This window comes from Homo sapiens, chromosome 1 (genome assembly GCF_000001405.40).
Source record: "Homo sapiens chromosome 1, GRCh38.p14 Primary Assembly".
NCBI classification, from domain to species: Eukaryota; Metazoa; Chordata; class Mammalia; order Primates; family Hominidae; genus Homo; species Homo sapiens.
In genome coordinates this window covers 168839033-168864821 of record NC_000001.11, presented here as the reverse complement: position 1 = coordinate 168864821, position 25789 = coordinate 168839033, and the positions used below count along the sequence as shown (strand labels likewise).

The 25789-nt window shown below is 36.4% G+C and overlaps 1 long non-coding RNA gene across 1 annotated transcript in view; it reads right to left on the bottom strand.

Annotated features, from left to right (window-relative positions):
* The window catches only part of LOC105371606 (uncharacterized), a 30799-nt gene extending 5378 nt beyond the window's left edge, over window positions 1–25421 (bottom strand). Inside the window, exon 1 of the long non-coding RNA XR_922261.3 lies at window positions 25329–25421. This is a non-coding gene — a long non-coding RNA (uncharacterized LOC105371606). The remainder of the gene's footprint in view (window positions 1–25328) is intronic.
* Window positions 25422–25789: the final 368 nt, after the last annotated feature.

Here is a 25789-nt window from a genome sequence, read left to right as displayed (position 1 = left end):
AGTAAAAGTTTGATGACTTCTGCCTCTAAACATGCTTTGCCTAAATCACTTATTTTTGCCCTTCAAAAGATAAACTGAATTGCTTATGAAATATGGCGTATGTCACATTCAATCAAAACACTGATCCATTCAATCTAACCCTCTCTTCCTGCTGCCATCTCAAGGTATGGATTGCATAAGAATTTTGTGGCATAAATTTGAAAACAAAACCAAAAACAGTTCTCCATTTTCTTTTATGGATTCTCCATTATGGATTAGCCTTAATGTTTCTTGAATTTCTGTTAGGGAACATCAAGGTCTGTGTCTAGTTCTTGGGATCAAGCTTGTGTTTTCACTAAGGTCTTGTAGCTGCTGACCTATTTCCCAGCCTCCTCCTTAGCTGACCTAAGAGGCCTGCTCTATACAATGGCTGCTCTCAGCTTTGTGGGATCTCTTCTTTTAATCTTTGGTATGCTTGAACACTAAATAATGTATTCAGATGCTGCCTGCCCAGGAAAGATGTCCACACTTTTTTCTCTTAATGCATAACTTCCTGATACCAAAGAAACCTATTTATCGAAGGAGCCAGAAATTCAGAAGCTACACTGAACTATTCTTACTTGGGAACCAAGTGTAAAATCTGACGAGTTGACTCCTACTTTTATTTTAGCTGGGCTGGGGCGTCTGTATAAACAGCCTTTCTTATGACAATTTGGCAGTGCGACTTTTGGTCAGGAAGAGAATCAACAAATGCTTTTATTTCTCAGTCTCCATCCTTATCCCCCCTCCCCTTTACTGACCTTTGTTTGAACCAAGACTAGAGTTTTATTGGGGCTTTGTTTTGTGTCTTGGGCAAGAGTTTTGGATCAGCCGAGGTCAGATCTCATTTTATCTAAATCAGTTTGCCCTCCCCCAATCTCAAGGGAAAAACTTCAACAAAAATACATTTACACGTTAGTCTTAGTTTTCATTGAGTTCCGTCTTGGCAAAGGAGGCCAGATTCTTATCCCTAGAGGCACTTAGCCTCTTAAACAATGTTTTATTAATTTTTTTCAAACAACCTCTACTCAATCATAAATAAATTGGCTCTCCTGCTTCTGATTCTGACTCCAGAGGCTTGTGGACTTTTGACGTTTTCTGTAATTTTTAATCTAGACATTGTCTCCCACATATAGCAAGAAGCAACATTATAGAATAGAGAATAGAGGATTGGCGGTCAAGAAACCTGGGTTCTAGTTCTGACTGTGCCACTATGCATAACTTTGGGCAAATTTTTAAATCCTAGGCTTCTCATCTCAGTAATAGAGGACTGGATAATATTTACAGTTTCTGTGGACTATAAGATTTTATGATTGGATTGAGAGGAACTGAGTGGAAATCCAGGACCCCAAAAGTAAATCAAAAGGCATTGGACTTACGTCAGAATTCACAATTTTATTAATTTTTTAAAAAGATTTACTATTATTATTATTATTTAGAGATGAGATCTCACTATGTTGCTCAGGTTGGAGTGCAGTGGCTATTCACAGGTGTGATCATAGCTCACTGCACTATTCAACTCTCAGCCTCAAGCGATCCTCCCATCTCAGCCTCCCAAGTCAGGTGCACCACTGAGCCCAGCTAGAGCACACAATTATCTGCATGGTTAATTAAGCCAGAGGTACTCCTTGAGCTCCCAGATTAGGGTAATGTGAGGAGCAATAGAGAATTTTTGGCATGTCAGACCTGGAAGGGCCAATAGAGGCTATCATATCTAACCCATTTCTTTAATAGATGAGGAAACTGAGGCATGAAGAGGAGCAGAGGCTTTCCTAAATTTGGTTAAAAAAGCCTCCATGGATTTTCTCTTCATCGCTTTCACTTCATACTACTTTGCCTCTTTATACTACTATTCAGAGGTATTCTTTATAATAAATGTTGTTAGTATTGTGTTTTGAATAATTCTAGTTTTGAAAAACTCTGTCAAAGGCAAACCCATTAGGCCATTCTCTCTTCCGCATTAGGACTGTAACCATAAGCCAAGGGGCAGTGTGTTGGTTGACACAGTGTACATACATCCCCACATCCCAGTAGTTTAAACACATAAGAGAGGAATTTAAAGTACACCTGTGTGAGGCCATGTGAATTTCCTCTTTCATCCCTTTTTTTGGTTCCATATATACCGATTATCCAGTATATTGAAGCCTGAAAAATACTTTGTTGTCACAGTTTTCCAAAGACTACCTTTATCCAAGGTATCTGGGTAGCTGAAGTCCAAATTTATTTCAGAAAATTGAATAATCAGGATTGCTAGCTGTGGGAAGTTTATATACTACATTAAAGAAGATAGATTTGGTTTTGTACACATCTCCTCTCACCCCCAAACTTTATGTGTTTCCAATATTCCTCAGACAATAAGGACTACACATTTCATTTTAGCAGGAGTCATATTTAAGTTCAGAGTTTGCCAGCAGATATTTTCTACCCTTCATGATCTTACCTTGTTTATTACACATTTGAGAAGATGAAAAGGATCAAATACATGAGTTTTTTCAGACAATTAGTATCTATATTTTAAAAAGCACAATCCTAGTTTTAAATTGATAATATTTGGCAAGATACTTGATTTTATACATAGATATATATATTTAACTCAAGTAGTTTATAGATGTTTTCACATCATTTGAATGATCAAGCTTCATTATGAACATCAATTATTGTACAGTTCCTGATAATACAGTGATTACCCTAGGGGCTACTAAAGGGCATGGGCCATCAAATGACCCCAGCAAGTACACATTGGTATTCTGGGGGCAGTGGTGGTATAAATGATATGTCACCTATGAGGTCCTATCATGAATAGTGTGATAATTTTTGGTAGCCTCTCATGCACCTGAGAACATACTGCTTTGGGCTTTAAACCAGATAAGCAAATTTGTTATAACTGTGGGAAGAATCAGAGAGATAAGAATCTGAGAGAGGCTTGTTGGACTTTAGTGCATGGAATTTTACTGCTCAAAGATCTCTGCTATTTACTCTAGCAATAACTAGCTTCCAGGAGGAATTTTCTCTAGGGTTTACAACCATGTATTAGTTTCCTAATTGGAATTTTGGATCAGTTTGTTTACATTCTTCTAAATAAAAACTTGAGTCATTCTTGGAACTAGACAAGTTATAAATTATGAATGATTGAGTAAATAATTAAGTAAACAGAATTTAGATATACACAGTAGATTCTCTTACAATTCATTTTATTTCTAGGAGACAGCATAGTATGCTGTTAAGGAGAACAAGCTTTGGAGCCAAAGCAACTTAGATTTGAATCCAAGTTTACCACTTTTTAGCTCTACAACTTGAGTAATTCCTTTAACTCCTATTTTCTTCACCTATAAAATGCATATGATAATAATACCTACCTCTTATTTTTTGTGAATGTTAAATGTGATAATGCATGCAAAACCCTTAGTACAGGGCCTGGCACATAGCAAATGATCAATAAATATTAAATTGTATTTTAAGGCACACCTTCCTCTTTATCTTCCAAATGTCTCTAACCTTTTTTGTCATTCAGGATTGGCTGACTGCTATAATGAACACCATTTAAATTTCAGGGGCTTAGCATAACAGAAGTTTATTTCTAACCTATCTAAAGTCCAGTCAATAGTGAGTAGGGTATAAGCTCTGTGTTCCACACAATCATTCAGAGACCCAGGCTCCTCCCAGCATGGTTCTCCATTACTGCCTTGAATGGAAAGCAGCAAATGATGGCCCATGGGCCAAATTGGCCTGTTCCAGCTTTTTTTTTTTCCTTTTTTTTACAGCCCATGAGCCAAAAATGGTTTTTATCTGTTTAAATGGCTGTGTTTTTAAATGGTTATAAAATAACACATAATATCCTTGATTTTGCTTCTTAGTCTACAAAGCCTAAAATATTTACCATCTTGCCCTTAAGAAAAGGTTTGCCAAGTCCTTTCCTAGGGCCCTACAGCAGAATTGTCTGCTAGGTTCTTGGCTTTGGGCTGTCAAATGAAGGAAGGCAAGAAGTAGAGGATCACACGGGAGATTTTTGTAGGTTCATTCTGTAAATGGCATGCATTATTCTCACCACATGGCTTTGGCCAGAAAGCAGCCAAAGGCATCTTTGCCTAGGAAGGCAAGGAGATGTGATCTAGTGTATGCTCAGGAGAAAACATAGTGGATTTTAGTGATGACAAGGCAGTACTACCATACCATTGTCAAAATAAACAGAAACTTAGCAATTCTTCCAATCAACACCCTGTTGCATACCTAAAATTTATACTTTCCTTGTATCTGTATTTTGCCTTAACCAACCACTGTCTCCTTTTTAACTATAGATGACTTAAATTTATTTATGCATTAGTAATTTATAAGTGTTTCACTCATTAGTTCAATACATATTTACTGAGAAACTATTATGCACTCTATTACGCTTTTATCTAATTTTTTTCAGGCCATCCAATATAAGGATGCCAATTTACTCTTGATTTCAAAGTGTCTGTATCTGCTTACCTCTCTCTGTCTGCTTCTTTCCACTATCTTAGAGGATAAAGAATCTCCCCCATTTTCTTAGGCTTGTGCATTTAATCACATGCCCTTTTATCTCTGTTAGACCTAGTCGTATCAATTATTCATTTTCTTTTCACGTTCCACTCTGAATGACTCTACCTAAAATTATGACTTAGTATCCTCCATTCTAGAAAACCAAACTCTTCTCCTGATCCTACTTCCCGTTACAAAAAAATCCTGTTTTTCTTTTTCCTTTCTCACCATTTTTTTTTTCAGAAAAGCTGCTTTGTGTATTTTACCACAAATTAATATTTTAATCTCCAGTAATCTAATTACTCCTCTCCCCTTCTGAACATGGTTCTTTTTAAATTTTATTTTATTTTATTTTAAGTTCTGAGGTATATGTGCAGGACCTGCAGGTTTGTTACATAGGTAAATGTGTGCCATGGTGGTTTGCTGCACCTATCAACCTATCACTTGTGTATTAAGCCCAGCATGCATTAGCTGTTTTTCCTGATGCTCTCCCTCCCGCTGAACCCCCTTCCTCAACAGGCCCCAGTGTGTGTCGTTCCCTCTCTGTGTCCATGTGTTCTCATTCTCATTGTTCAGTTCCCACTTATGAGTGAGAACATGTGGTGTTTGGTTTTCTTTTCCTGTGTTAGTTTGCTGATGATAATGGCTTCCAGCTCCATTCATGTCCCTGCAAGTACATTATCTCATTCCTTTTTATGGCTGCATAATATTCCTGTAATATGCTTATGCCCTGAATGGTATTGCCTCAATTTTCTTCTAGGGTTTCCTTAATCCAGTCTATCATTATGGACATTTGGGTTGATTCCATGTCTTTGCTATTGTGAATAGTACTGCAATGAACATACTTGTGCATGTGTCCTTACAATAGAATGATTTGTATTCCTTTGGGTATATATCTAGTAATGGGATTGCTGGGTCAAATAGTATTTCTGCTTCTAGATCTTTGAGGAATTATCACATTGTCTTTCACAATGGTTGAACTAATTTACATTCCCACCAACAGTGTAAAAGCATTCCTATCTCTCCACAGCTTCACCAGCATCTGTTGTGTCTTGACTTTTTAGTAAGCACCATCTGACTAGAGTGAGATAGTATATCATTGTGGTTTTGATTTACATTTCTCTAATGGTCATTGATGCTGAGGTTTTTTAAATATGTTTTTAGGCCACGTAATTGTCTTCTTTTGAGAAATGTCTGTTCATGTCCTTTGACTACTTTTTAATGGGGTTGTTCATATTTTTTGTGTGTAAGTTTGTTTAAGCTCCTTGTAGACTCTGAATATTAGACCTTTGTCAGATGGATAGATTGGAAAAATTTTCTCTCATTCTGTAGGTTGTCTGTTTGCTCTGATGATAGTTTCCTTTGCTGTGCAGAAGCTCTTTAGTTTAATTAGATCCCATTTGTCAAATTTTGCTTTTGTTGCAATTGGTTTTGACATTTTTGTCATGAAATCTTTGCCTGTGCCTATGCCCTGAATGGTATTGCCTAGATTTTCTTCTAAGGTTTTTATAGTTTTGGGTTTTACATTGAAGTCTTTAACCCATCTTGAGTTAGTTTTTGTATAAGGTGTAAGGGAGGGGTCCAGTTTCAATTTTCTGCATATGGCTAGAACATGGTTGTTTAAAAAATTTTTTTTCTTCATTTCCTATAAAAAAAAAAAAACAGGATACATGTGCAGAACGTGCAGGTTTGTTACATAGGTATACGTGTGCCATGGTGGTTTGCTGCACCTATTGACCTGTCCTCTAACTTCCCTTCCCTCATACCTCACCCAACAGGCCCTGGCATGTGTTGTCCCCCTCTCTGCGTCCATGTGTTCTCATTGTTCAACTCCCACTTATGAGTGAAAACATGTGGTGTTTGGTTTTCTGTTCCTTTCTTAGTTTGCCTAGGATGATGGCTTCCAGCTTCATCCATGTCCCTGCAAAGGACATGACCTCATTCCTTTGTATGGCTGCATAGTATTCCAGAACATGGTTTTTCTTTAATGGTAATCCTTGACTTAATAATTACTAAAGCAAGTTACTTTTTCTTATTGTTTATTCCTCCTGATCTCTACCTTCAAATTTTTAAAATTAATATAATAAAATAAACCAAATAAATTCTAAGTATCTTTATAATATATCCCAATTTCTGGTGGTATAAGTGTTCAACTTTGTTCATCTTTAAGATTATTTTGGCTATTCTTGAATCTCCATATAGATTTTAAAATTAGCTTGTCAATTTACACACACACAGACACACACACATACACACAAACTGCTTGAGATTTTTATTTTAATTGAGATTGTACTAAACATGCAGATCAGTTTATAAAAAATACACATCTTTACAATACTAAATTTTCTAATCTATGAATATGGTATATCTGTTTTTTTTTTTTTTTTTTTATAGGGAGTCTCACTCTGTCGCGCAGGCTGGAGTGCAGTGGCACAATCTTGGCTCACTGCAACCTCTGTCTCCCAGGTTCAAGTGATCGATTTTCCTGCCTCAGCCTCCCGAGTAGCTGTGACTATCTTTTTCTTTATGTAAATTTTCTGTAATTGATCTTGGCAATATAGACTTATTCCTAGGTAATTGCTGCTTTCACAGTTATTTTGTAAATCTTTGTTTTCTAATTTTTTGTTGTTGATATAAAGAAATTAAACATATTTTTATATATTCATTTTATATCCAATAGACTTGATAAATTAATATTTAATTCTAATCTTTTATCTGAGATTCTTTTTTTTTTTTTGGAGATGGAGTCTCACTCTGTTGCCCAGGCTGGAGTGCAGTGGCACGATCTTGGCTCACTGCAAGCTCCACCTCCTGGGTTCACGCCATTCTCCTGCCTCAGCCTCCTGAGTAGCTGAGACTACAGGCACCCACCACCACACCTGGCTAACTTTTTATATTTTTAGTACAGACGGGGTTTCACCGTGTTAACCAGGATGGTCTTGATCTCCTGACCTCATGATCTGCCCGCCTCGGCCTCCCAAAGTGCTGGGATTACAGGTGTGAGCCACCGTGCCTGGTCTATCTGAGATTCTTTTGGATTTTCTATACACATGATCATAACGTCTCTGAAAAACAAGGGTTTTCTTTCTTTCTTTGTCTTTTTTCTTGTCTTATTGTACTAATGAAGGCATTCAACACAATGTTGAAATGGTGATGGTAAGCTCTTTGAAGTTTTTTTTTAAATCATGAATGGTGTTGAATTTTGTTAAGTAACATTTCTGCATCTATTGTGATAATTATAATATTTTCTCCCTTTTTTCTATTATTATTGGGAAACAAATTGGTTGATTTATATATATAAGTCAACTTTGTTTCCCAGGATTAAACATAACTTGGATATAAAAATCTTATTTTTATACAATATTTAATAGCATTTTATTTGGAACTTTTGTATCTAAATTTATAATTGACTGATATGTTTCTTTTCTTGCAATATCTTTGCCAGGTTATAGTATCAATATTATACTGGGAATATAAAAAATTGGGATGTGGTCACTCTTTTCCTATTTTCCTGAAGAGTTTATGTAACATTAGTAGTATTTCTTTTGTAATTAATAAATTTTATTCTTAGAGTACTTTCATGTTTACAGCAAAATTGAGTGGAAAGTACAGACAGTGCTCATGTTCCTCACATGCACAACCTTCCCCACTATTGAAATCACATCTAGAGTGGTATCTTTGCTATAACTGATGAACCTACATTGACATATCATTATTGCCCAAAGTCTATGGTTCACTTTTGATGTTGTACATTCCATGGGCTTTGACAAATGTATAATGACATGTATCTGCCATTGTAGTATCATACAGAATAGTTTCACTGTCCTAAAAACCTCTGTGCTTTGTCTATTCATTCCTTTCTTCCTCCTAACCCCTGGCAACCACTAACTTTTAATTGTTTTTATAATTTTGCTAATGTTATATGGTTGAAATCATACAGGACATAGCACTTTGAGATTGACTTCTTTCAGTTAATAATTTGCATTTAAGTTTCTTCCATTTTTTTCGTGGCTTCATAGTTCATTTCTTGAGTACTGAATAATATTCCACGGTTTGGATGTATCACAGTTTACTTAACTATTCATCCACTAAAGAAAATCTTGGTTGCTTTCAGGTTTTGGCAATTAGGAATAAAGCTAATAAAAACACCCTGTGTGCAGGTTTTTGTGTTAACATAAGTATTCAATTCATGTGGGTAAATACCAGAGCGTGAGTGTTGGATCATAGGATAAGAGTGGGACTAATTTTGTAAGAAATTGACAACCCTCTTCCTAAGTGGTTGTATCAGTTTGCATTCCCATCAGCAATAAATGAGTTTCTGTTGTTCTACATCCTCACCAGTATTTGGTATTGAAGGTGTTTTTGAATTTTGGCCATTCTAATAGGTGTGTAATGGTATTTTATTTTTTAATTTACAATTCCCTACAGACATATGATGTTGAACATCTTTTCATATGCTTACTTGCCTTCTGTTTATCTTCTTTGGTGAGATGTCTGTTATGGTCTTTGGCCCATTTTAATATCTGGTGGTTTGTTTCTTATTCTTGAGTTCTAAGAGTTCTTCATAAATTTTGAATAACAATTCTTTACCAGATTTGTCTTTTGCAGCTATTTTTCTCCCATCCTGTGGCTTTTCTTCTTATTCTATTGACATTGTCTTCTGCAGAGCAGAAGTTTTTACTTTTAATAAAGTCCAGCATACCAATTATTTCTTTCATGGACCATACCTTTGGTGTTGTATCTAAAAAGTCATTGCCATACTCAAGGTTATCTATATTTTCTCCTCTATTATCTTCTAAGAGTTTTGTAACTTTGTGGTTTACATTTAGGTCTGTGATCCATTTTGAGTAAATTTTTGTGAAGGGTGTAAGGTCTGTGTCTAGGTTCATTTTTTCTTTGCATGTGGATGTCCAGTTATTACACCACCACTTATTGAAAACACTGTCTTTAAAAAAAAGATATTAACAGTTTACATAGAAAATGCAAGTGGATTAATATGTAAAAAAATTAACTTCATTAGTAGTTGAGTGTAATCTTAAAAAATAAGGTATGCTTTGTACCTACCAAAATAGCAAACATTTCAAATATTTTTTGAGGATATACTGCAACAATTACTTGTAGAAGGGTAAATGTCTCTAACTTCTCTGGTCAGAAATTTATCAATAAATACAGACTCTTAAACACTTCCAAAGAAAAAGAAAGAAAGAAAGAAAACACTGTCTTTGTTCCATTTCATTGCTTTTGCTCCTTTGTCGAAGATCAGTGACTATACTTATATGAGACTCTATTTGTGTGCTTTCTATTCTTGTCTACTGATTTGTCTCTTGTTATGTGAATAACACACTATCTTAATTACTACAGGTATATAGTAAGTCTTGAAGTAGGGTAGTGTGTCAGTCCTCTAGCATTCTCTTCTCCTTTCAACATTGAATTGGCTCTTCCAGGTCTTTTGCCTCTTTACATAAATTTTGCCTCTTCATATAAACTTTAAACTTCACATAAACTTTAGTTTATCAATAGCCACCCAAATAACTTGCTGAGATTTTGATTGGGGTTGCACTGAAGCTATACATCAAGTCAGAAAGAACTGGCATCTTGAAAATATTGACTCTTCCTATCCATAAACATGGACTATTTCACCATTTATTTAATTATTTGATACCTTTCATCAGAGTTTTGTAGTTTTCCTCATAGAAATCTTGTACATATTTTATCGGATTTATAACTAAGTATTTAATTTTGAGGGGTGCTAAGTAAATGATAATATGTGTTTAATTTTAAATTCCACTTATTAATTGCTAGTATTTAGGAAAGCGATTGAGTTTTATATATTAACCTTGTATCCTCCAACCTTGCTATGATTACTGATTATTTTCAGGAGGCTTTTTTTTTTGTTTCTTTGTTTTTGTTTTGAGATGGAGTCTCGCTCTGTCGCCTAGGCTGGAGTGCAGTGGCGTGATCTCGGCTCACGACAACCTCCGCCTCCAGGATTCAAGTTATTCTCCTGCCTCAGCCTCCCTACTAGCTGGGATTACAGGCTTCCACCACCGCATCCAGCTAATTTTTGTATTTTTAATAGAGAAGGGATTTTGCCATATTGGCCAGGCTGGTCACGAACTCCTGACCTCAAGTGATCTGCCCACCTCGGCCTCCCAAAGTGGTGGGATTACAGGCATGAGCCACTGCACCTAGCCTCAGGAGGTTTTCTCTTTTTTTGTCAATTCTTTTGGATGATGGATAGAGAATGATGTCATCTGCAAACAAAGACAGTCTTATTTATTCCTTCCCGGTCTGTATGCTTTTTATTTTTTCTTCTTGCCTTCTTGCATTAGCTAGGACTTGTAGTATAATGTTGAAAACACATGGTAAGAGAGGCTCTGATAAAATATTTTCTCCTGAGGGTGGGCCTTATTGAGAACAGAATGCTCTGGCATATTTCAAAATGGTTACTTTTCTCTTCCTTCTTCTGGAAGCACAAGGGGACTTTTCTCCAATATTCACTGTAATGACCTGTAGAGCTCCGGGAGTTAAAACTCAAAAAAGCCTGGGTTCCCCTGAAGTTTTAAGCTCTTGTCCATACTGAGCCTCCAGCAATTTGTCAGTTATAGTTTTGGTTGTTTTTGTTTTTGTTTTTCTGCCCTAGAACTTGTTCCCATGGAGGTTTCTGCTCCAGGAAGTTATAATTCTTTGTTTCCACCTGTCTGTCTCTCCAAACTGAGGGACAGTGGTTTGCCCTGTGACTTTATATCTCTGATGAATCTAGGAAAAGTTTTTGATTTTTCACTTTGTTCATCATTTTACTTGTTAGGATGAAGTGGAAACTTTAAATCTTCTTACATGCCAGACTAGAAACCAGAAGTCTGTATTATTTTAACGTTTTAGAAGAACTCCCACTGAAGTCATATGGGCCTGGAGATTTCTTTGTGAAAAAGGTTTTAAATTACAGATTCATTTCTTAATTGTTGTAAGATTATTCTGGCTTTCTATTTTTTCTTGTGTCAGTTTTTGTAAGTTATATTTTTCTAAAAATTTGTCTATTTCATCTAAATTTTTAAATCACAATTATCATAAATTGACAATAAAGTCCTCATACTTGTACTATGTGTAGGACCCTCGGTGATATCTCCTGTTTTCTTTCTTGATATTGGCAATTTATTTTTTTCTCTCTTTTTTTCTTCATCAGTCTTACTAGGAACTTATCAATATTGTTAGACTTCTCTAAGAACCAACTTTTGACTATGGCTGATGATCTCTTTTGAACCCTTCACTATATCATTATTTCCTGACTTTATAATTTCTTTCCTTCTACTTCCTTTAATTTAATTTGCTGTTCTTTTGCTATCTTTTTGAGAGGCTATTTAGATGTTGGTTTTTAGCCTTTCTTTTTCCAATTATACGCATTTTAGAACTTTAAATTTATCTCTAGTATTGCTTTGGTTGTATCTCACAAATTTATATCTTCAAAATTATTAATTTTATAATGCTTAAGAATTTTTAAAAAGAGATGTCTTTTTTGAACTAAGGGTTATTTTGAATAATATTTCTTAATTCCTATATACATTTGAGAAACTTCTAATTATCTTTCTGCTATTTTTTTCTAGCTTAATTTCACTATGACCTGAGAAGTATACCCTGAATTATTACAGTCCTTTGACTTTTTAAAAAATGCATTTTATGAACCAACATATGGTCAATTTTGGCTAAGGTTCTATGTATGCTTATAAAAATATGTATTCTGATATTGTTCATATATCTATATCTCTATATATTTATAGATACCTCTATATAGAGCTATTATCTCTATGAATCCATATATCTATATCTCCAAGTTTTTAATCATGTTTTTTAAATCTTCTCTATACTTACTGATATTTTTGTCTGTTTATTCCATTCATTTCTGAGATAACATTGTTAAGTACTCCTCTATGATTGTATCTTTGTCTATTTCTCCTTTTACTTTTGTCAGTTTTTTCTTCATACATTTTAAACTTATATTAGTGGTGCATATAATTTTATAATTATTATATCTTCCTGATGGGTTGACCATTTGGCACTTCAAAATATTCTTTTTTAAACTCCAGTATTCTTTTAGGTTTCAAGTCTACTTTATCTGATATTGTTACAGTTTCAGGTGCTTTCTTTTGGTTAGTGTTTACAAAACATATTATTTTTCATGCTTTTACTTTCAATCATTTTGTGTCTTTATTTAAGTTGTAGCTCTTATAAAGAACATAGAATCATGTTTATTTTATTCATCCAGTGTGATAATTTTCAGTTTTAATTGAAATATTAACTTGTGTACATTTAGTATAATTTAGGGTAACCTGGAGGTTGGAGGAGGAGAAAAACCAAAATGTCTTCATTTCATTTTCATTTTGGGATGATGTATTTACTGGCATAGAATTATGGATCAGCAGTTATTTTCTTTCAATGTTTTCAATATGGCATCCATTGCTTTTGTTGAGAAGTTAGCTCTCAGTTTTATTATTGCTTCTTAAAATGGATTATATTTTTATTCTCTGGCTTTTAATATTTTCTCTAATCTCTGGTTTTCATTAGTTTTAATACGATGCATGTGTGTGTGTGTGTGTTTGTGTGTGTGTGTATATTTATCCTGCAGTGGTTCCTGAAAGTGTGCTTTCAGTCTTGTCACCTTGTCCCTTTGAGTCCATCCTGTAGATTGAAAATCTAACATGTTATTAACTTTAAAATTTTTCATATGTATATAAGATAAATCCCAGGCTCCTTGTGCAAGTCTATAAAGGCTTCATGACCTAACTTCACCTACATTTTCACCCTTATTTCCTGAATCTAGGCTTCCCTGTAACCAAAAATGAAGTGCATCTTTCGTACCTCTACATCTTTGCTTTTGCCGTACTCTGTCTGGAATATTCCTCCCTATTCCTAACCACACACATATCTTCATTCAGATAGCTCCTTAGCTCCTTCAAAATTTATTTTAGACATCAGCTTCTCCAGGAAACTTCTCTGTGGCCTCAGACTGGACTGCACATATAACACCTGCACAGACCTCCATTTTAACTCTTCCTGCTCTATACTTCAGTTGCCTTTTTAGGTAACAATCTCCCCACTGACTACACTAAATACCAAGCTACTCAGAATTATTCATAATTAGCTACTCATTAAATTATTCATAAATTAATGCCTGGTGCTTAATCCAATGCCTGTCACATTGCAAATAAATGTTTATAAATAAGTTAGATAAAATCAAAATAAGTAGGCCCCAATGAATATCTATTTTTCCTCATTTAATAAGTTCTTTCTGGGAACCAGACACTAAGCTAACTGCTTGACACTTGTTACATCCTTTACCTTCTACAGCAACCCTATGAGAGAGGTACTATAATTATTCCCATTTTACAAATGAGGAAATTGAGGTTCAGAAAGGTTATACAATTTGCTCAAGATTATATGGCTAGAAAATAGCAAAGCTAAGTTTCAAACCCAAGCCAGAACACAAAGGTTTACCCACAAAATTGTGCACTGATTGACCCCCCTTAAATGCTGATTTCTGACGGTAGCACCCTCTTCACAGCCCTCACTACCCTCACCAACCATTCCCTAGATTTGCACACTGAATACTGTGTTATCACTAATACAAAGCTGTTTCTGGAATATGGAAGCCCTCAATAAATGCTTATCAAATAAAAAAAAATTTTTTTACTATGCCTGAATTCAGCTGACTTATTTCTGAGCCATTCAATATCGCGGGGGCACTCTGAGATTAGAATGGGTTAGATAACAGAAAATTAAGAAATATAATTCAAATTCTCCTCAAGGTCTAGGTGTAAATTAGACTCTTGGAGACAGAACCTACACTATTTTAGGCCACTTGTGTAGGAAGTTTTACATGAATTATTTGACACTGCTGATTAAACATACTTACGCATATTCTACAGGTACAAGAAAGAGCCAAGTGTGCTAAGCATAGTGGTCTTCCTTGGCTGAAAGGATAATATGGACAAAAGCCTCTCTATGTAAGTTCACTGTGGCCCGAAAAAGTTAAGAGTCTTCCCAAGGAGCCTGATTTGCAACAGGAGTGCCAAGTAGCCCCAAGAAGCTACTGAATCTCAAGGCAGCACTTCCTTCTTCCCAGCGCAGTATTTTGTATTGTGGGCCATCTCTCAGGTTTTGTCCATAGTGAGTGGGAATTCTCGTCACTGGAGAACATGTACATGATATGCATGATGTGCATCTGTGATACAGCAGGGGCTCTTTGCTCTTGGGCAGCCTTTTGGAGGCAGCTTCATCCTGCATCCTGGAAACACATTCCTTGACTTCAGTTGCAAAGAGGGGGAAAGGGATGAAAGTGGGAGTGGTGGCTGGATGACAGTCCCTGTCTTCATAGGGCACTCCTTGTATATTCAATTCCTTCCAGCTCCAGCCTCCTTAGAGTATTACTCCCCTCAACCAAAAAGGCAGGAAATGGATGGTACAAGTGAGAGTTTCTACCTCACTGGGTGTGAATGTGAATGTGTTTTATATACTGGGAGTTGCTATGAAAATATAAAACATGATTGTATTACATATTACACTCTTTTTTGAGGGGCAAAAGTTGAGTTGCAAAGAAATCACCCATGGCTGCCTAGAACAATGCCTGTGACAAAATTAACCATGCAAATTAGCCCTGATAATTTAACAAGGGTTAAGAGAATTTGGAAATTTAGACTGAACCTAAGGGACATAAGAATAAAAATAGGTTTAGGAGATTCAGGGGAGTACATTATGGTTTTCATTTGTTGGAGAGAGTTAACTCACTGTGATACCGACAATTTGCACAAAAGGCTGTATTTTTCAAAGCTCTTTAACATATCACCTCTCATGTAATTTGATCCTCAGAGTAACCATATGAAGAGGATAGCAATATAACCCTTTTGTACAAGGGAGGAAATAGTTATCCAGGCATTTGTTCATGTCCATTACTTATTGTCCACGGGAAGACAGGGTGGGACTGGAAAATAAAACTTGCTCTTCTGGTTCCAAATCTTTAATATTTCTACTACAGTGTAGAAGTCTCCAGTGTACTGGAATATAATGTTATTATTAAATCAGTTTTCTTCCTATGTCACACCTTACACAAAAGCAGAAGGGTGGCAATAACATTTGTGTAGGCTTGAAGGGCTTTTGTCATTGACTCAGAGTTACAGTGCAGAGGGAGACATGCACAATTTAATCAAGAAATTGTGATCGTAGGTGCATCTTGATGCTCCCCCTAATTCAGCCCTGCCATTCTTCTCTTACAGTGGTGGAGCAGATTTTGTCAACAAGTGTGCTTTGGGCACTGTGCTGGGCACCATAGGGAATAGAGTTGTAGTTTATTGCAAGATCCTTGCTCCCAGGAGCCTGAAATCTAGACTAAATAAATTCACACACACAAAAATCTATAGTACCAGCTCTGTTTGAAATTCATTTAAGAGAAAAGAGACCAGTGAGGGCAAGACTGCAGGAAGCTGCAGGAAGAAGGCATCCTTTACAGCTAGTCAGACATAGATAAGGAACTAAATATACTGAAGGGTGAAGGCACATATTTCCAAGGGAAAACATGAGCCAAAGCTTAGAGGCAGGAACAACCAGGGTATGTGTGTGAGACAGTGAAGAAGCCATATTGCCTAGGGCAGGAGGGTAAACCACAGTTACCTATTAGGAGGAGAAACTGACAGCCAGGCCCAACCAGTGGCAGAAGCAATAAGAGAGAGATTGATGATGCTGTGGCAGGGACTCCACCCCGCCCCAGGTGTATCTGTACTGTTGACCAGAATGATCCTCAGAGGGATGTACTCAGCGTGGATGTAATTTTTTTCCAGGAGTGTGAGAAGGAGGAAGTGTAGGGAAGTGGGAGAGAGGAGAAGAAATGCACTGGGGTGGGGAGGTTGTAGGTTTCTACCAGCGCACATTGTCCCACAGGAAAAGGCTTTCCACGAGACACATCTCCTTCCTTGTCTTTGCAGGCTGATTCCTGCCAATGATCTTCCTTTGGGAGATTTCCCATTTTCTCTTCCCGTTCCTGCTTGGTACATACTTTTTCTTCTTATGGCAAATTTTGTATTTTTAGCCCAGGCAGTTGCTGTGGAAACCACTAGAGCTGAACATTTTGTTTCCCAAGAACAAATGCATGCTTAAATATTCAAGCAATTTTCTGTTGTTCAAAGGAACTCAAATTTCTAGTGTATTGTTCAGACCACATGAGAGAAATTGAAGTTTTTCTCCATTACTTTTAGGGGTTCCCACAGTAGTCACACTTTTCTAGGGTTGAGAGAAGGTCAGGTTTAATGTTTATATCGAACATGGTAATCCCTTTCAAAAATAAGCATAAGGAATAATTTTATAATGTTTCCCTTCTTCCTCCAACATGTTTTAAAGATCTTAACAATGAGTCCTCTAGACAATGAAGATGGGAGTTCATTTCTTCCCTCTTTGGGAGGGGGAGATGCATTAAGAGGCACGCTTCTCCAGCCTTTCAATAAAGAGGTGCCATCTCTTTCAAGTCTAACTTACCTCAAACAACATTGGCATTGAAAAGTAGCTTTTTGCTCAATATTACTCAACCTGCCCCTACTTTGGACAAATTGTAGAAATTGCATTTGCTGTATCTGAGTAGTCTTTTTCCCCCAAGAATATTTCATATACACATTATAGCCTATGAATTGCAAGCATGTCCCTACTTTGGTATCTGAGGTTCTGAAGCCTACCCCAGCCTCCAGATTTCTTTCAAGTACATTAGAGAATAAGAATGGATTTCCCACACATCTAGATAAAGAGTTCTTAACCTTGGGTTCACAAACTTGGATGGAAAAAAACCTACACCATTATTTTTGCTAACTTCTAACTCAGATTTATAATTTCTTTCACTTATGAATGTAGGCAACAAATCAAAAGTCTAATGATGACTTTGTCACCACTGGAACTTATTACAGTTGCTGAAGAGGTATATCAAAATGTTGTGCTTGCTTCGCACTCCATTGATATTAGTCATTAGATATGCTGCACAGTCCAATCTTGTTTCTTGAGTTAATAAAGAATATATATATATATTCCTATGGAAATTTGATTTATAGTATTTTGAAAGCTATATTTAAATATAATTGCTATTCTTCGTAATAAATTATATTTTATTTTATGCATTTAAAAATGTTATTTTGAGAAGAGGGTCTGTAGGTTTTCCAGACTGCCAAAGGGGTCCATGGCACACAAATATTTAACAACTCTAGTGTTACCATCTCTACAACAAGCTGTCGCCATCTATTCACCATTACTTGAGACATTTTTTGCACTCTGCTTGTTACCTTTGAAAGCCACATGTAAAATTTATAATATAAAACAATTCTGTGGGAAGAAGTGGTATCAGTTGGGGTAGTGTCAGGACTGAGAAACCATTCTGGATATTTTAAGCAGGAAGAGATGTAATGTAAGGAGTTATAGACTGGAGCTGAGGGAGCAAAGGTCAAAGAATACTACCACTGACATTCTGGAAATCAGAAAGTTTAAAGAACTTTAGGAAGCCTTCACTAACCTTCTTAGCTGCTACAACACCAAGGGGTATGATTGGTGGCAGAAGGATACCTGGAAGCTTCTGGACAGTGTCACATCTACAGTTATGCAAGTCCACACAATGCATACAACTGCCTATTGCTGCTGCAGAAAACTTAATAGTTTCTATTTTTTCTCTGTTCTCCAGTTCTTGCGTTGCTTCACATTGTTGAAACATAACTCGGGCTGGGATTCTGAGAAATATGGATTTCAGGCTTCCAGCCTCTGGAACACAGAGGCAGCATAAGGTGGGAAGCAGGGAGCATGGAAAGACTAGTGCTGAGCCAACAGCACACCCAGCACGCAAGCCTGGTGCAGCAGTGGCGTCATGGAGAACATCAGGTTTGGATGTTGGGATATCTAATAACCTTGCCTCTGTGCCTTTGGGTAACTCACACTTGTCTTTTCTGAGACTCAACTTCGACATTTACAAAGATTTAATTTTTAAACTAGACTACATTTTGACTCAAGTCCCTTTTAGCTCTGAATTCTGATGGTTCTGGGAATGTAGTTCCTTGGAATTCAGTCCCTTGAAATAAAATTTACTTTTCCATTCACAAGCACTGATGAATGAGTGGGTCTAGGAAAAGTAGAGCTTGTCAGGCAATGGGCTAAGGAATTTTGAAAGAATTATTTAGATTTCTTTTGCTCTGAAGAGAGGATATCTGTCCTTCCCAGTACCACATAATTATAGGCTGACATCTTTCTCTGCACTGTTGCTTGGGCAACCTACGTAGAAAGCAGTAAGACTAATTCCACAAGCTACATAGGAGGGTTTGATTGCTTTATCTGAGAGTCTCATCACTTACATGTGTTTACATGAAGTGTTTGAAGATAATTTCTTACTAACCTAGAGGCATCTCTGTGTGATATATTCAACCACTTTGAATAATCTCCCTCTAATCTGGTTCATATTCACCTTCACCATTTCCTCCACTTACTCCACTTCCTCATCATCTTGCCAAGTGAAGAAAAAACAGACCAGGAATACAAATATTTCAAATACCTACAATAGGTCAAAGCAATATGGCTTCGATCAAGAGGCATTTTGTTGCTGTTCCATCATGGTCATATTAGCTCCCCAGAGGGACTCTGGCTCAAGCCTTCCAGGGAAAGTTCTCTTCTATCCTGCAGGCAGGTGCATCCTGGAGGGCAGGAGCACTATGGTCAGAAGGCTGAGCTCCTTAACCAAAAAGCCTCAGGGGTGCCATGCTGTCACCCATCAAGTGAAAGCTTGAGGAAAGAGGCTTCGAATGGCCAACATTGATTCTCTGAGCTTATTCTCTTGAAAGTGAAAGGATTATGTGCAGCTGGGAGATCTAGTTTGGCAGGAATTTCCTTTCAATAAGGAAAGGGCTTCATATTTGATTTTATATATTACAAGGGCAGGTCTTGGTTTACAGAACATATCAACAATTCTATTCCTGTCCTGAGAGTGGGGAGACCTCTAGGCAGAGGTGGGGCAAAGTCAGAGGGCCAGGCTTCCTGGAATTCTTGGCTCTGTTGAGAGGCGATAAGCTGGTTGAATAGTCAAGTGGGGTGCAATTTTGAAGATCTCTGCTTTACATTGCCTACTTTCTGCCCTGAAGTGACTAAGAGAAAATCAATTGAATTCACTTTTTAAAAGCAACTGTGGATCACATATATGTAAAGACCCATGCTGAAGCTATTGCATATTCAGAGGTGAAAAATACCTCGTTTCTGTCTTCAAGATTTTATAAGCTGACTGGAATGAATTACACATCCAAATAAATTTGATACTACTCTGTGATGACTGCTAAAAACCATATTTTATGAGAGAAAGAATTATTTCTGTCTCTGTGAATCTGGGGAGTCATCTAAGAAAATATGAGAGTTGTATGGGCCTTGAAGGAAACAGAGGAGTTTAATAAATAAATGATGGGAAGATTAGTAAGGGAGAAGGAAACATTTCATGCAAAAGCCCAAATTTATACTGAGGCCTGTAGTAGAAGGGTGAAGGACATTATTTGAGAAATAAGGAGTGGCCCTAAGTTCAGTGTTAATGAATCAATACTACACATTAAATAAGGTGTCTTTTAAAGAGAAACACACATAAAACAAGCTTATGTATTCACTGGTTGACAAAAATGTTATGACCAGATGCTCACAGGAACTTAACCTTGTATTTCTTCTAGGATCAATGGGTCAGTATTTGCTAATTCATTGCCTGCAGTAACTTTGCAGAACACAACAACATGAATAATGAGAATCAATTATATTTATCATCTCTGGGCTAGACAATAATACAAATAATAGGTACACTTAATTACTAAGTACTACTTGGCAGTCATTGTGGTAGTTGTAAGAGAAACAGTGATGAAAGAGAGAGACACAGCCCCTTTTCTCAAGTTTATAGATCATAGCGAATTTAGATGCTAATGTGCTCATCGCAAAAGTGATGGATATGATGAAAAGGGAATTATGGCATGCTGTGGGAAGATATGCAGGAGGACCTAATCTACAGGTAGGCACTATTATTCTCCTATGCATGGGGGACTTGGAGGCACACAGTTCCTAAGTAATTTGTCCCAGGTTCCCTCATCTCACTTTGCACAACTATCTCTGGGGGTGGAAAATGTTGGGAGGTTGGAAGGCAGAAGTGATGAGTAATCTCACTATAAAAGGAATCTTGATTTTATTGAGATTCACTTTAAATACTATGGTGCACAAATGCAAAGTGTCAGGAACTACTGCAAATGAAGACAGAAACGATGAACCTGCAGTGCTTCAATTTCAATGGTTGTCAGTGAAATACAAGTCAGTTTTCTAAGCATTTCATTATTCACAACTTTTCAAGATAAATCTGCTACATAAGGCAAGGTAATTCTCATGCAAATGAATTCAAGTTTCTAAAATAGGGAATTTCATAGAGAAGCCTTTTTTCCTTCTTTCTTTTTTCTCCCTTCTACAGCTCTGCTGCTTTTCTCTTGGGACCACGGTTTCTCAACTGAGCTGTATTCAATTTTATAATTAAGTTTTGTATTGATATTTTCTGGTTCCTGAGAGTAAGAGAATCGAGGAAAGAAAAGCAAGTAGTACATGGTTTCCTCTTACTTTGCTCTCACTTTCTAGAGATTTAACTTGTTCCTGGTAATGGGTAACAATTCCCCAGGGACCTCGATGACACATGCACTACAAATGGAAAAGTCTCTAGGGAAGCCCCTGTTTTCCTTGTTTATGTGAATACAACAGCATCCCTCTGTCTTTGGGCTTAAAGGAAGAAGCGCTTGCCAGTGACAAGGTAAAGGCACAAGAGAAGGCAGGAAATGAAGAGTTCTCCTTAGGGGAGAAGGCCTGGGATGGGGGATAAATGGGGGAGGCATTTGTTTGGTGGAGACGTTAATGAACAGCCTGACAAAGAAATCCCATTTCCAGACTAAAGACGACCACTTCAGGACCCTTCAAGAGGGCACAGATTCTATTCACCTTGTCTAGTGGCACATGTCCCAGTTCTGCTTGTTGTGTTTTGGAAACTTTTGCTGTTTCAATTGTGGTTGTGTAGAACAATCTATTGTATGCACAATGTTGTTCTACTTCCCTATACTCCTTCACAGTACAACAGTTCCTGAAGTGGGTGGAAATGATTACCCATAGGTTTCTGATGGGAAGCAAACCGTTGAGAGAGAAAATGTTTGTCCAGGGCTCTCCACCCAGTGAGTAACATAGCTGTGATTTAAGGTAACCATTACAGGCAACAGAGCAAACAGAAAAATACAGACAAGAAAATGTCTTTCTCTGGAAGACTAACTTGCCAACTTAACACGTGCTGAGAGCTCAATCACTTGCTTTTAAAATCAGCTGACTTAAACAAATGTCTGAAAATCTTATACTCTACCAATGTCTGTTTAAACATGGCTGATTAAATCCAAAAGAAGGGCAGATCAAACAAAAATAATGTTTGGACTTCAATTGCCAGATCGAGCCATTTGATTAAAAATATGCCTGTGCCTTGAACAGAGATTCTATATAAATATATAGCTGAGCTTAGCTTTCTTGTTTAAAATAGGACACTTGTAAAAATGGAACACATGTGGGAGATTCTTCACAAATGGCCATTATTGTTCAAATTGGAAGAGGTGGATACATGTAGGGTTGCCAGATAAAATGCAGGATGCTTAGTTAAATTTGAATTTCAGATAAACAATGAATGATGTTTTAGTATAAGGATGTGCCAAATACTGCGTGGGCCATGCTTATTCACTGGTTATCTGAAACCCTAATATGACTGAGTGTCCTGTATTTCTACTTGCTAAATCTGACAAGTCTAGTCATGTGCTTTAAAATCAACATCTGGTTCTGGATATCAGAAATGCAAATAGTATCATAAATGCAATGGCTTTCCAAAGCATTTTCTAGTCCCTATTGCAAAGTTGATACATCTTGAAAATGGATTATACCCTGAAAATGGAAATCCAATCAAAGGAACTTCCTCATGCTCCAAACATAGAAAATTTGGATAAACTATGCCAACAAAAGTTACATATGCTACTAAGCTCAACAAAAAAGGAACTCCTTAGGTAGTAGAAATAAAGACATTCTCAAAGTCAAAAATGGTGATAGCCTAAAGCCACAGTGGCTCATGGGACAACAGGTCCTTGATATACTTTTTAATGTACGAATATTGGGTTTTTCATGCCCACAGAGGATGGGCTATGAGATCTAAAGCCATTTGAGATAAGCAACTATAATGGAGTCTTTTACATATTGCTACAATTCTTGAAAGCAGATTCCATCCGTAGAAAAATGATTAAAAAAAACCTCCACATATTAATGACCCAAGGAGCTAGCTATCTGTAACACCCATAAGAATTCAGAATCTTGAAATTACATAAGGAATGGGTGTAGAGTCTAAATATACCCCACCCATGAGGTGTAGGAACCCCAGATTTAGAAAGCAGCATAAAACTGGTCTAGCTTTGGTGAAACCCTGAGGCCCTGGCAGAGGCAAATATGAAAATACTGTGTAAGTGCACTTCCGTCAATCAGCACAACAGAATTCCCAGTGAAACCCATCTGCAGTAAAGATGAACTTTTAAAAGTTACAAGAGGCAACACAAGAAAATTCTGAGGAAAACTAACAACAATGTGAAAAAGAAAATGACCACTTCAGTAAAAAAAAAAAAAATGAGAAAATGAATGTATTTAAAATATTCATGTTAGAACATTATAAAAGGCATAGAAATTAGAAGACAAGAAGAAAATAGTATAAGAAAAGAAAAAGCAGGAAAATGGCATCTCTAGAAATGAACAAATATGTAGTTCAATTAAGATAGCAAATTATGAGTTAAACTAAAGTACATGCAGCTGAAGACAGCTTAATTAGTAGAAGGTAGAGCTGAATAAAACACCTATAATGCAGGAGTGATCGAAATGGGGTGTTCTATAAAGAGATTAAAAGATATGAAAGTTAGAATAAGAAGATCTAATATACATCTGTTAGAAAAAATGAGAAGACACAATATTCCAAAAGATACTGGCTTGGAATTTTTCAGAACTCCAGAAAGATATAAGTCCTCATATTAAAATTATGCAAGTAATCCCAATGAGAATTAATTTCATAGTGAAATTGCAGGACAACAAAGATCAGAAAAAATAAATTGTGCAGGTTCCAAGAAAAAAAGACAGATTACCCACAAAAATAACTACTAAGACTAATAGCATACTTTAGCAACAATAGAAGCCAGAATGAAATGGAATATTTGCAAAATGTTCACTTAAGTGTCACTGAAAGGTATGGTGAAATAAAATGATTTTTCTATAAAGGAAGGTTGAGTTTATAAATAACATATATTCACTGAAAAAACAACTAAAAGTAACGCTGATTGTATAAACAACAAAAAGGCTGTTTTGAGAAGCTTGAAAACAAGGTGAAACTAATGTAAAATAACATGAAAATGGAAGGGGATTGGATTTAAAGCATACCAAGTTTCCTCTATTGGTCAATAAGAGATCTTTATTAGAATTGGACTTTGTTAGGTGTCCATGTTAAAGAATAGAAATAAAACACATATATTCAAAAGAGTGGATGAAGAAAAGGAAAGAAAGAAAATGGATCTGTTATTTAAATACCTAAAAAGTAAGAGCAGAGAATATTTTAAAGCAAAAAAGTTTTAAAAAGATATAGTAGGAAAAAAGAAAGCTGTTATTGCAATATTAATATCAGACAAATCTAGTTTTTAAGGCACAATAGCTGTAAAAAGCGTTATTTCTTAATGATTAAAACAACAGTTCAGGGCCGGGCATGGTGGCTCATGCCTATAACCCCAGCACTTTGGGAGGCCGGGGTGGGCGGATCACCTGAGGTCAGGAGTTCGAGACCAGCCTGCCCAACATAGCAAAACCCCATCTCTACTAAAAATACAAAAAATGAGCTGGGTGTGGTCGTGGGCCCCTGTAATCCCAGATACTCAGGAGACTGAGACCGGAGAATTGCTTGAACCCAGGAGGCAGATATTGCAGTGAGCTGAGATCACGCCACTGCACTCCAGCCTGGGTGACAAGAGTGAAACTCTGTCTCAAAAAAGATGAGAAAAACAAAATCAAAAACAAACAAACAACAACAACAAAAAAAGGTACATCAGGAAAATATAATAATCATTACATACTACAAACAGAAACTGACAAATACAAAATCGAAATGGGAGATTTTTTTTACCTCCCATCAAAAACTGGTAGATGAAGCTAATAAAAACTGGTGAAGATATAAATATTTGAATATTCGTGTTTATAAGCTTGATTAAGTAGACATGCTTAGAACACTTTACCTATCAATAGAGAATATAACACATACTTTCATCTTATAAGCATTTTTCCAGAGGAAAGGAAGCAAGCAAAAACTCCCCAAGTCAATTCGTAAAGCTATTCTAACTTTGACAGACAAACAAGACAAGAATAGTAGAAAGAGACCTGAGGAAAAACTCTTCATTTATAAACATAAATGCAAATTTCATAAAATATAAGGAAACTGAACCTGTCCATTTATTATTTTTAAAAAGTTTATCATGGTGAAGGAGGGTTTATTTTAGAAATGCAGGGATATATTCACATTAGGAAATCTATAAAGTACCCCATCACATTAACAGATTCAAGAAGAAAGTCAGTTAAGCAACTCAATAGATCCAGACAACGCATTTGATAAAAATTCAACATTCCTTGTGGTTTAAAACAATGCATAACAAACTAAAAGAAGTTTCTTAGATTAAGAGAATCTAACAAATGTGCACAGTGAATACTATACTTACAGCCTTAGAATCTATTCTTTTAAAGTCAGAAATGCAGCAGAGATGCCCATTATTATTTCTAACCTTCATTGTACCGAAGGTCTTAGGCAATACAAAGAGACAAGGAAATGAAACGGTAAGAATAAGGATCAGATTGGGAGAAACAAAACTTTCTATCTACAGACAAGCTATTGCAAGTTATAAGAGAAGGAAGCAGTGTTCAGGGTGTGGGTTTCATTCTGTAGGAGTATAATGGCTTAAACACACACCTACTCCAGCCATTCCTGCTTCAGACCTGGGTTTAGTTTGGTTACTCTCTGCAGTCTGTCATTTTTTGGTGATAGATTCTTTCTTTGGTCATATTCCCTACATTGACCACTGGATTATATCTTTCCATAAAACATGTTCTCCCTCTTCTTTTACTTACAGATCTATAGTATAATTGCAGCATAGGCTATCAAAGATATTTCGATGTTTCTTTT